This window comes from Homo sapiens, chromosome 19 (assembly GCF_000001405.40).
Source record: "Homo sapiens chromosome 19, GRCh38.p14 Primary Assembly".
In the NCBI taxonomy this organism is placed as follows: Eukaryota; Metazoa; Chordata; class Mammalia; order Primates; family Hominidae; genus Homo; species Homo sapiens.
In genome coordinates, this window is record NC_000019.10 from 27401667 (window position 1) to 27414865 (window position 13199).

A 13199-nucleotide genomic window follows, 5' to 3' on the forward strand; every position below is an offset into this window, starting at 1 on the left:
AATGAAGTTTCTGAGAATGTTTCTGTCTAGTTTTTATGTGAAGATATTTCCATTTCCATGACAGGCCTCAAAGTGCTCCAAATATCCACTTATAGATTCTACAAAAAGAGTGGTTCCAAACTGCTGTATCTAAAGAAAGATTCAACTCTGTGAGATAAATTCACACATCACAAAGTAGTTTCTCAGAATGCTTCTGTCTTGCTTTTATGTGAAAATAGTTCCTTTTCAACTATAGGCCTCAAAGCGCTCCGAATATCCATTTGCAGATACTAACTGCAAAAAGAGTGCTTCCAAACCGATCAATCAAAAGAAATGTTCAATTCTATGAGTTGAATGCATACATCACAAATAAGTTTCTGAGAATGCTTCTGACGAGTTTTCATGTGAAGATATTTCCTTTTCCACCATAGGCCTCCAAGCACTCCAAATATCCACTTGTAGATTCTAAAAAGGAGTGTTTCAAAATTGTTCAAGTAAAAGAAAATTTCAACTCTGTGAGATGAATGCACACATCACAAAGAAGTTTCTTAGAATAATTCTGTCTAGTATTTATGTGAAGAAATTTCCTTTTCGACTATAGGCCTCAAAGTGCTCCAAATATCCATTTGCAGATGCTACAAAAAGAGTGTTTCTAAACTGCTCAATCAAAAGAGACATTGAACTCTGTGAGTTGAATGAACATATCACAAAAAAGTTTCTGAGAATGCTTCTGTCTAGTTTTTATGTGAAGATATTTCCTTTAACTTCATAGGCCTCAAAGTGCTCCAAATATCCACTTGCAGATTAGACAAAAAGAGTGTTTCAAAACCGCTCAATCAAAAGAAGGTTTCAACTCTGAGATGAATGCACGCTTCACAAATAAATTTTTCAGAATGCTTCAGTCTAATTTTTATGTGAAGGAATTTCCTTTTCAGCTACATGCCTCAAAGTGCTCCAAATATCAATTTACAGATACAACAAAAAGAGTGTTTCCATTCTACTCAATCAAAAGAAAGATTCAGCTTTCTGAGTTGAATGCCCACATCACAAAGAAGTTTCTCAGAATACTTCTGACTAGTTTTTATGTGAAGATATTCCCTTTTCCACCATAGGCTTCTAAGCCATCAAAATATGCACTTGCAAATACTACAAAAGGAGTTTTTCAAAACTGCTCAATAAAAAGAAAGGTTCAACTCTGTGAGATGAATGCACACACACATCACAAAGAAGTTTGTCAGAATGCTTCTGTCTAGTTTTTATGTGAAGATATTTCCTTTTCAGCTATAGGACTATAAGCGCTCCAAATATCCATTTGCAGATACTACAAAAACAGTGTTTCCAAACTGCTAAATAAAAAGAAACTTCAACTCTGTTAGTTGAATGCACAAATCACAAGGAAGTTTCTGAGAATGCTTCTGTCTAGTTTTTATGTGAAGATATTTACCTTTCCACCATATGCCTGAAAGTGCTCCAAATATCTCCTTGCAGATTCTACAAAAAGAGTGTTTCAAATCTGCTCTCTGAGAAGAAAGGTTCAACTATGTGAGATGAATGCACACATCACAAGTAAGTTTCTCAGAATGCATCTGTCCACTTTTTATGTGAAGATATTTCTTTTTCAACTATAGGTCTCAATGCTCTCCAAATAGCCACTTGCAGATTCTCCAAAAACAGTGTTGAAAACTGCTCAATCAAAAGAAATGTTCCCATCTGTGAGATGAACCCATACATCACAAATAAGTTTCTCAGAATGCTTGTGTCTAGTTTTACTGTGAAGATATTTCCTTTTCCACCATAGACCTCAAAGCGCTCCAAATATCCACTTGCAAATTCTACAAAAAGAGGGTTTCAAAACTGCTCAATCAAAAAGCAAGTTTCAACTCTGTGAGATGAAAGCACACATTACAAAGAAGTTTCTGAGAATCCTTCTGTCTACTTTTTGTGTGAAGATATTACCTTTTCCACCATAGGCATAACAGTGCTCCAAATATCCCTTTACATATACTACAAAAAAAGTGTTTCCAAACTGCTCAAACAAAAGAAACGTTCAACTCTGTGAGTTGAATGCACACATCACAATGAAGTTTCTGAGAATGTTTCTGTCTAGTTTTTATGTGAAGATATTTCCATTTCCATGATAGGCCTCAAAGTGCTCCAAATATCCACTTATAGATTCTACAAAAAGAGTGGTTCCAAACTGCTGTATCTAAAGAAAGATTCAACTCTGTGAGATAAATTCACACATCACAAAGTAGTTTCTCAGAATGCTTCTGTCTTGCTTTTATGTGAAAATAGTTCCTTTTCAACTATAGGCCTCAAAGCACTCCAAATATCCACTTGCAGATTCTACAAAAAGAGTGTTTCAAAACTATTCAATCAAAAAAAAGGTTCAACTCTGTCAGTTGAATGGACACATCACAAAGAAGTTTCTCAGAATGCTACTGTCTACTTTTTATGTGAAGATATTTCTTTTTCAACTATAGGCCTCATAGCACTCCAAATACCCATTTGCAGATACTACAAAAGGAGTGTTTCCAAACTGCTCAATTAAAACACAGGTTGAACTCTGTGACTTGAATGCACACATCAGAAAGAAGTTTCTGAGAATGCTTCTGTCTGCTTTTTATGTGAAGATATTTCATTTTGCACCATACGCCTAAAATCTCTCCAAATATCCGATTGCAGATTCTACAAAAGAGTGTTTCAAAACTGCTCAATCAAAAGAAAGGTTCAACAGTATCAGACGAATGCACAAATCACAAAGAAGTTTCTGAGAATGCTTGTGTCTAGTTTTTATGTGAAGGTATTTCCTTTTCAACCACATGCCTCAAAGCACTACAAATACCATTTGAAGATACTATTAAAAGAGTGTTTCCAAACTACTCAATCCAAAGAATCATTTAATTCTGTGAAATAAATGCATCATCACAAAGAAGTTTCTCAGAATGCTTCAGTCTAGTTTTTATCTGAGGATATTTCCTTTTCAGCTTTAGGCCTCAAAGCACTACAAGTATCCACTTGCAGATGCTACAGAAAGGGTGTTTCCAAACTTCTCAATCAAAAGAAATGTTCATCTCTGTGAGTTGAATGCACACATCACAAAGAACTTTCTGAGAATGCTTCTGTCTAGTTTTTATGTGAAGATATTTCCTTTTCACTGTAGGCTCAAAATCGTCCAAATATCCATTTGCAGGTACTACAAAAAGACTGTTTCCAAAATGCTCAATCAAAAGAAAGTTTCAAATCTGTGGCTTGAATGCACATATCAGAAAGAAGTTTCTGAGAATATTTCTGTCTAGTTTTTATGTGAAGATATTTCCTTTTCCACCATAGGCCTCAAAGTGCTCCAAATATCCACTTGCAGTTTCTACAAAAAGTGTGTTGGAAAACTGCTCAATGAATAGAAACTTTCAACTCTGTGAGATCAATGCACACATCACAAAGAAGCTATTCAGAATGCTCTTGTCTATTGTTTAAGTGAAGATATTTCTTTTTGAGATATAGACCTCAAATTGATCCAAATATCCATTTGCAGATTCTACAAAAAAAGTGTTTCCAAACTGCTCAATCAAAAGAAAAGTTCATTTCTGTGAGTAAAATGCACACATCACAAAGAAGTTTCTCAGAATGCTCCTGTCTACCTTTTAAGTGAAGATATTTCTTTTCGAGTTATAGACCTCAAAGTGATACAAATATCCATTTGCAGATTCTACAAAAACAGTGTTTCCAAGCTGCTCAATCAAAAGAAAGGTTCAATTCTGTGAGTAAAATGTACACATCACAAAGAAGTTTCTGAGAATGCTTCTGTCTAGTTTTTATGTGAAGATATTTCCTTTTCCACCATAGACCTCAAAGCGCACCAAATATCCACTTGCAGATTCTACAAAAAGAGTATTTCGAAACTACTCAATGAAAAAAAAGGTTCAACTCTGTGAGATGAATTCATAAATCACACAGAAATTTCTCAGAATGCTTCTGTCTAGTTTTTATGTGAAGATATTACCTTTTCAGCTATAGGCTTCAAAAAGTACAAAATATGTGTTTGCGGATACTACAATACGAGTGTTTCCAAACTGCTCAATAAAGCAAAGGTCCAACTCTGTGAGTTGAATGCACACATCACTAAGAAGTTGCTGAGAATTCTTCTGTCTAGTTTTGATGTGAACATATTTCCTTATCCACCATAGGCCTCAAAGTGCTCCCAATATCCACTTGCAGATTCTACAAAGAGAGTGTTTCAAAACTGCTCAACGAAAATAAAGTTTCAACTCTGTGAGATGAATGCACACAATACACAGAACTTCCTCAGCATGCTTCTGTCTAGTTTTTATGTGGCGATATTTGCTTTTCAGCTTTAGGCGTCAAAGCGCTCCAAATATCCACTTGCAGATTCTCCAAAAACAGTCTTTCAAAACTGCTCAGTCAAAAGAAAAGTTCAATTCTGTGAGATGAATGCACACATAACAGAGAAGTTTCTCAGAAAGCTTCTGTCTAGTTTTTATGTGAAGACATTTCCTTTTCAACAACAGGCCTCAAAGCACTCCAAATATCCATTTGCAGATACTACAAAAAGAGTGTTCCCAAACTGCTTAATCAAAAGAAAATTTCAACTCTGTGAAATGAATGCACACATCAAAAAGTAGTTTCTGCAAATGCTTCTGTCTAGTTTTTATGTGAAGATATTTCCTTTTCCACCATAAGCCTCAAAGCGCTCCAAATATCCACTTGCAGATTCCGCAAAAAGAGTGTTTCAAAACTGCTTAATCAAACGACAGATTCAACTTGTGAGATGAATGCACACATCACAAATAAGTTTCTCAGAATGCTTCTGTCTAGATTTTTTGTGAAGACATTTCCTTTTCAACTATAGGCCTCAAATGGCTACCAATATCCATTTGCAGATACTTCAAAAAGAGGGTTTCTAAGCTGCTCAATCAAAAGAAAGTTTCAACTGTGTGAGTTGAATGCATAAATCACAAAGAAGTTTCTGAGAATGCTTCTGTCCAGTATTTATATGAAGATATTTGCTTTTCTGCCAATGGCCTCAAAGCACTCCAAATATCCACTTGCAGATTCCACAAAAAGAGTGCTTCAAAACTGCTCAATTAACTGAAAGGTTCAATTCTGTGAATTGAACGCACACATCACAAAGGTGTTTCTGAGAATGCTTCTGTCTAGTTTTTATGTGAAGATATTTCCTTTTCCACCATAGTACTCACAGCGCTCCAAATATCCAGTTGGAGATGCTACAAAAGATTGTTTCAAAACTGCTTAATCAAAAGAAAGGTTCAACTCTGTGAGATGAATGCACACATCAGAAAGAAGTTTCTCACAATGCTTTTGTCTAGTTTTTATGCCAAGATATTTCCTTTTCAGCTGCAGGCCTCAAAGCGCTCCAAATATCCATTGTCAGATACTACCAAAAGAGTGTTTCCAAACTGCTATATCAAAAGAAAAGTTTAACTCTTTGAGTTGAATGCACACATCACAAAGAATTTTCTGAGAATGCGTCTGTGTGGTTTTTATGTGAAGATATTTCCTTTTCCACTGCAAACCTCAAAGCACTCTCAATATCCATTTGCTGATTCTACAAAAAGAGAGTTTCAAAACTGCTCAATCAAAAGAAAGATTCAACTCTGTGAGTTGAATGCACACATCACAAAGAAGTTTCTCAGAATTCTTCAGTCTACTTTTTATGTGAAAATATTTCCTTTTCAACTGTAGGCTTCAAAGCGCTCCAAATATCCATTTGCAGATACTACAAAATGGGTGTTTCCAAACTCCTCAATCAAAAGAAATGTTCAACTCTTTGAGATGAATACACGTATCACAAAGAAGTTTCTCAGAATGCTTCTGTCTAGTTTTTATGTGGAGATATTTCCTTTTCAGCCGTAGGCCTGAAAGCGTTCCAAATATCCATTTGCAGACACTACAAAAAGAGTGTTTCTAAACTGTTCAGTCAAGAGAAAGGTTTAACTCTGTGAGTTGAATGCACACATCACAAAGAAGTTTCTGAGAGTGTTTCCTCTAGTTTTTATGTGAAGATATTTCCTTTTCCAATGTATGCCTCAAAGCACTCCAAATGTCCACGTGCAGAATCCACAAAAAGACTGTTTCAAAACTGCTTGATCAGAAAAAAGGTTCAACTCCATGAGATGAATGCACACATCACAAAGAAGTTTCTCAGAATGCTTCTGTCTTGTTTTTATATGAAGATATTTCCTTTTCAGCTATAGGATTCAAAGTGCTCCAAATATCCACTTGCAGATACTAAAAAAAGAGTGTTTCCCAACTGCTCAATAAAAGAAAGGTTCAACACTGTGAGTTGAATGCACACATCAAAACGAAGTTTCTGAGAATGGTTCTGTCTTGTTTTTATGTGAAGATATTTCCTTTTCCCCCTAGGCCAAAAAGTGCTCCAAATATCCACTTGCAGATTCTACAAAAAGAGTGTTTCAAAACTGCTCAATCAAAAGAAGGGTTCAACTCTGTGAGATGAATGCACACAACACAAATAACTTTCTCAGAATGCTTCTGTCTAGTTTTATGTGAAGATATTTCCTTTTCAACTACAGGCCTGAAAGCACTGCAAATATCCACTTGCAGATACTACAAAAAGAGTGATTCCAAACTGCTCAATCAAAAGAAAGTTTCAACTCTGTGAGTTGAATGCACACATCACAAAGAAGATTCTGAGAATGCTTCTGTCTGGTTTTTCTGTGAAGATATTTCCTTTTAAACCATATGCCTGGAATTGCTCCAAATATCCAACTTCAGATTCTACAAAAAGAATGTTTCAAAACTGCTCAATGAAAAGAAAGGTTGAACGCTGTGAGTTCAATACACACATCAAAAAAGTTTCTCAAAATGCTTCTGTCTAGTTTTTATGTGAAGATATTTCCATTTCCACCATTGGCCTCAAAGCGCTTCAAGTGTCCCATTGCAGATTCTTCAAAAAGTGTGTTTGAAAACTGCTCAATCAAAAGACAAGTTCAAATCCATGAGATGAACGCACACATCACAAAGAAGTTTCTCAGAATGCTTCTGTCTTGTTTTTATATGAAGATATTTTCTTTTCAGCTATAGGCTTCAAAGCGCTCCAAATATCCAATTGCAGATACTAAAAAAAGAGTGTTTCCAAACTGCTCAATAAAAGAAAGGTTCAACACTGTGAGTTGAACGCATATATCACAAAGAAGTTTCCCAGAATGTTTCTGTCTAGTTTTTATGTGAAGATATTTCCTTTTCCACCATAAACCTCAAAGCACTCTCAATATCCCTTTGACGATTCTACAAAAAGAGTGTTTCAAAACTGCTTAATAAAAAGAAAGGTTCAACTCTGTGAGATGAATGCACACATCACACAGAAGTTTCTCAGCAGGCTTCTGTCTAGTTTTTATGTGAAGATATATCCTTTTCAACCATAGGCCTCAAAGCACTCCAAATATCCACTTGCAGATTCTACAAAAACAGTGTTTCAAAACTGCTCAGTCAAAAGAAATGTTCAAAAATGTGAGATGAATGCACACATCACAAAAAAGTTTCTCAGAATGCCTCTGTCTACTTTTTATGTGAAGATACTTCCCTTTCCACTATAGGCCTCGAATTGCCACAAATATCAACTTTGAAATTCTACAAAAAGAATGTTTCAAAACCGCTCTATCAAAAGAAAGGTTCAGTGCTGTGAGTTGAATGCACACAGCACAAAGCAGTTTCTCAGAATGCTTCTGTCTAGTTTTTATGTGAAGATATGTGCTTTTCCTCCATAGTCCTCAAAGGCTCCAAATATCCACTTGTAGATTCTACAAAAGCAGTGTTTAAAAACTGGTCAATTAAAAGAAAGTTTCAACTCTGTCAGATGAATGCACACATCACAAACAAGTTTTTGAGAATGCTCCTGTCTATTTTTTATATGAAGATATTTCCTTTTCCACCATAGGACCTACAGCACTCCAAATATCCAATTCCAGATTCTACAAAACAGTGTTTCAGAACTGCACAATCAAAAGAAAGTTACAGCTCTTTGAGGTGAATGCACACATCACAAAGATGTTTCTCAGAATGCTTCTGTCCAGTTTTTAAGTGAAGATTTTTCCTTTTCCACTGTAGGCAGCAAAGTTCTCCAAGTATCCACTTGTAGATTCGACAAAAAGAGTGTTTCAAAAGTGCTCAGTCAAAAGAAATATTCAACACTGTGATGTGAATGCACACATTGCAAAGAAGTTTCTCATAATGCTTCTGTATAGTTTTTATGGGAAGATATTTCCTTTTCCACCATAGGCTTCAAAGCGCTCTAAATATCCACTGGCAGGCACTACAAAAAGAGTGTTTCAAAATTGCTCAATTAAAAGAAAGGTTGAACCCTGTGAGATGAATACACAAACCACAAAGATGTTTCCCAGAATGCTTCTGTGTAGTTTTTATGTGAAGATATTTCCTTTTCCACTATAGGCCACAAAGCATTCCAAATATCCACTTGCAGATACTACAAAAAGTTTGTTTCCAAACTGCTCAATCAAAAGAAAGTTTCAACTGTGTGACATGAATGCAGACATCAAAAAGAAGTTTCTCTGAATGCTTTGTTCTAGTTTTTATGTGAAGATATTTCCTTTTCCACTATAGACCTCAAAGCACTCCAAATATCCATTTGCAGATACTCCAAAAAGACTGTTTCCAAATTGCTCAATTAAAAGAAAGTTTCAACTCTATGAGTTGAATGCACACATCTCAAAGAAGTTTCTCAGAATGCTTTTGTCTGGTTTTTATGTGAAGATATTCCCTTTTCCACTGTAGACCTCAAAGCCTTCCAATTATCCTCTTGTAGATTTTACAAAAAGAGTGTTTCAAAACTGCTCAATCAAAAGAAAGGTTCAACTCTGTGAGATGAATGCACACATTGCACAGAAGTTTCTCAGAATGTTTCTGTCTAGTTTTTATGTGAAGATATTTCCTTTTCCACCACAGGACCCAAAGCACTACAAATATTCACTTGCAGATACTACAAAAGGACTGTTCCAAACTGCTCAATCAAAAGAAAGGTTCAGCTCTGTGAATTGAATACACACAGCACAAAGAAGTTTCTCAGAATGTATCTGTCAATTTTTTATGTGAAGATATACCCTTTTCCACCATAGGTTCAAAGCACTCCAAATACCCACTGGCAGATACTACAAAAAGATTGTTTCAAAGCTATTCCATCAAAAGAAAAGTTCAACTACGTGAGAAGAACACACACATCACAAAGAGTTTTCTGAGAATGCCTCTGTCTGGTGTTTGTGAGAAGATATTTCCTTTTCCACCATATGCTGCAAAGCTATTCATATATCCCATTGCAGAAAGTACAAAAAGACTGTTTTCAACCTGCTCAATCAATAGAAAAGTTCAATCCTGTGAGTTGAATACAGAAATGCAAGGAAGTTTCTCTGAATGCTTCTGTCTAGTTTTTATGTGAAGATATTTCCATTTCCACGATAGGACTCAAAGCGCTCCAAATATCCATTTGCAGATACCACAAAAAGACGGTTTCCAAACTGCTCAATCAAAAGAAATATTCAACTCTGTGAGATGAATGCACACATCACAAAGGAGTTTCTCAGAATGCTTCTGTCAAGTTTTTATGTGAAGATATTTCCTTTTCAACCATAGGCGTTAAAAGTGTTCCAAATATCCACTTGGAGATACTACAAAAAGACTGTTTCCAAACTGCTCAATCAAAAGAAAAGTTCACATCTCTGAGTTGATTACACACATCACAAAGAAGTTTCTCAGTATGATTCTGTCTAGATTTTAAGTGAAGATATTTCCTTTTCCACCATAGGCCTGAAAGCACTCCAAATATCCACTTGCAGATTCTACAAAAAGAGTGTTTCCAAACTGTTCAATAAACAGAAGGGTTCAACTCTGTGAGATGAATTCACACAACACATAGAATTTTCTCAGAATGTTTCTGGCTAGTTTTTATGTGAAGATATTTCCATTTTCACTATAGGACTCAAAGTGCTCCAAATATCCATTTGCAGATACTACAAAAAGACAGTTTCCAAACTGCTCAATCAAAAGAAATATTCAACTCTGTGAGATGAATGCACACATCACAAAGGAGTTTCTCTATATGCTTCTGTCTAGTTTTTATGTGAAGACATTTTCTTTTCCAATATAGGCTTCAAAGCGCTCTAAATATCCGCTTGCAGATTCTACAAAAAGAGTGTTTCCAAACTGTTTAATCAAAAGAAAGGTCCAACTCAGTGAGATGAATGAACACAACACAAAAACTTTGTCAGAATGCTTCTGTCTAGTTTTTACTTGAAGATATTTCCTTTTTCACCTTAGGCCTCAATGTGTTCCGAATCTCCTTCTGCACATACTAAAAAATACTGTTTCCAAACTTCTCAATGAAAAGAAAGGTTCAACTCTTTTAGATGAATGCACACATCACAGCGAAGTTTCTCAGAATGCTTCTGTCTTGTTTTTATGTGAAGATATTTCCTTTTCCACAATAGCCCACAAAGCACTCCGAATATGAACTTGCGGATTCTGCAAAAAAAGTGTTTCCAAACTTATGAATCAAAAGAAAGTTTCAACTCTGTGTAAGGAATGCACACAACACAAAGAAATTAGTCAGAAAATTTCTGCCAAGTTTTTATGTGAAGATATTACCTATTTCCCCAGAGGCCTCAATGGGCTCAAAAATATTCCTTCAGAGATTCTACAAAACAACTGTTTCCAAACTGCTCAATCAAAAAAAAAGTTTCAACCATGTGACATGAATGCTCTCATCGCAAGGAACTTTCTCAGAATGCTTCTGTCTAGTTTTCATGTGAAGATATTTTTTTTTCACCACAGGCATCAAAGCGCTCCAAATATCAATTTGCAGACACTTCAAAAGTACTGTGTCCATACTGCTCAATCAAAAGGAAAGTTTAGCTCTGTGAGATGAATGAACACGTCACAAAGAAATTTCTCCAAATGCTTCCATCCAGTTTTTATGTAAAGATATTTTCTTTTCCACTATACCCCACAAAGCGCTATTAAAATACACCTGCAGTTTCTATCAAAAGGCTGTTTCCAAACTGCACAATCAAATGAATGGTTCAACTCTGTGAGATGGATTCACACATCACAAAGACATTTCTCAGAATGTTTCTGTCTAGTGTTTATATGAAGAAATTCCCTTTTCCACCATGGGCCTCAAAGCGCTCCAAATATCCACTTTCAGATTGTACAAAAAGAGTGTTTCAAAACTCCTCAATCAAAAGAAAGGTTCAACTCTGTGAGATGAATACACCCATCACAAAGAAGTTTCTTTGAATCCCTCTGTCTAGTTTTTATGTGAAGATATTTCCTTTTCCACTATGGGCCTCAAATCACACCAAATATCAATTTGCAGATACTACAAAAAGAGTGTTTACAAACTGCTCAATGAAAAGAAAGGTTTAACTGTGAAATGAATGCGCACATTACAAAGAAGTTTCTCAGAATTCTTCTGTCTAGTTTTTATGTGAAGATATTTCCTTTTCCACTATAGGCCACAGAGCACTCTAAATACCCACTTTCAGATTCTACAAAAAGAGTGTTTCAAAACTGCTCAATCAAAAGAAAGGCTAAATTCTGTGACATGAATGCACACATCACAAAGAGGTTTCTGAGAATGCTTCTGTCTAGTTTTTATGTGAAGATATTTCCTTTTCCACTATAGGCCTCAAAGCACTCCAAGTATCCACTTGCAGATACTACAAGAAGACTGTTTCCAAACTGCTCAATGAAAAGAATTTTTCAACTCTGTGAGATGAAAGCACACAACACACATAAGTTTCCCAAACGTTTCACTCTAGATTTTATCTGAAGAGATTTCCTATTTTCCCAGAGGCCTCAATGGGCTCACACATATCTCTTTCCAGAATCTACAAAATGACTCTCTCCAAAGTGCTCAATAAAAAGAAAGATTCACCTCTGTGGGGTGAATGCACACATCACAAAGACGTTTCTCAGAATACTTCTGTCTAGTTTTTATGTGAAGATATTTCCTATTTCCTGAGAGGTCTCAATGGGCTCACAAATATCCCATTGCAGATTCTACAAAACGACTGCTTTCAAAATGCTAAATCAAAAGAAAGTTTTAACTCTGTGAGTTGAATGCACTCATCACAAAGAAGTTTCTCAGAATGCTTCTTTCTAGTTTTTATATGAAGATATTCCCTTTTCCACAAAAGGTCTCAATTGAGCTCCAAATATCCACTTGCAGATACTACAAAAAGACTGTTTCCAAACTGCTCAATCAAAACAAATGTTCAACTCTGTGAGATGAATGCGCACATTACAAAGAAGTTTCTCAGAATGTTTCTGTCTAGTTTTTATGTGAAGATGTTTCCTTTTTCACCATAGGCCTCCAAGCGTTCCAATTATCCACTTGCAGATTCCACAAAAAGGGTGTTCCAAAACTGCTCAATCAAAAGAAAGTTTCAACTCTGAGAGATGAATGAACACATCACAGAGAAATTTCTGAGAATGCTTCTGTCTAGTTTCTATGTGAAGATATTTATTTTTCCACAATAGGCCTCAAAGCTCTCCAAATATCCACCTGCAGATTCTAGAAAAAGAGTGTTTCACAACTGCTCAATCAATAGAAAGTTTCAACTCTGTGAGATGCATGCACACATCACAAAAGTTTCTCAGAATGCTTCTCTCTAGTTTTTATGTGAAGGTATTTCCTTTTCCATCATAGTCCTCAATGTGCTCCAAACATCCACTAGCAGATTCTACAAAAAGAATGTTTCCAAACTTTTCAATCAAAAGACAGGTTCAACTCTGTGAGATGAATGTGCACATCACAAGCAAGGTTCTCAGAATGCTTCTGTCTCGTTTTTATGTGAAGATATTTTCTTTTCCTCAGTAGGCCACAAAGTGCTCCAAAAATACACTAGAAGATTCCAGAGAAAGAGTGTTTCAAAACTGCTCAATGAAACGAAATGTTCAACTCTGTGAGATGAATGCACACATCACCAAGAAGTTTCTCAGAAAGTTTCTGTCTAGTTTTTATGTGAAGAAGTTTCCTATTTCCCCATAGGCTTCAAAGGACTCACAAATTTCCCTTTGCAGTTTATAGAAAACGAATGTTTCCACACTGGCCAATAAAAAGAAATGTGCAACTCTGTCAGATGAATGCACCCATCACAGAGAAGTTTCTCAGAATTCTTCTGTCTAGTTTTTATGTGAAGATATTT

General features: G+C 35.7%; 2 annotated features.

The window, feature by feature from the left end:
• Positions 1805 to 2786: an enhancer, noted in NCBI's record as "OCT4-NANOG hESC enhancer chr19:27894379-27895360 (GRCh37/hg19 assembly coordinates)". NCBI's record gives its function as "activates a minimal SCP1, AML or CMV promoter by ChIP-STARR-seq in primed H9 embryonic stem cells {active_cell/tissue: H9 hESC(primed)}" and the evidence as "EXISTENCE:reporter gene assay evidence [ECO:0000049][PMID:30033119]".
• Positions 4823 to 5342: an enhancer, noted in NCBI's record as "OCT4-NANOG hESC enhancer chr19:27897397-27897916 (GRCh37/hg19 assembly coordinates)". NCBI's record gives its function as "activates a minimal SCP1, AML or CMV promoter by ChIP-STARR-seq in naive H9 embryonic stem cells {active_cell/tissue: H9 hESC(naive)}" and the evidence as "EXISTENCE:reporter gene assay evidence [ECO:0000049][PMID:30033119]".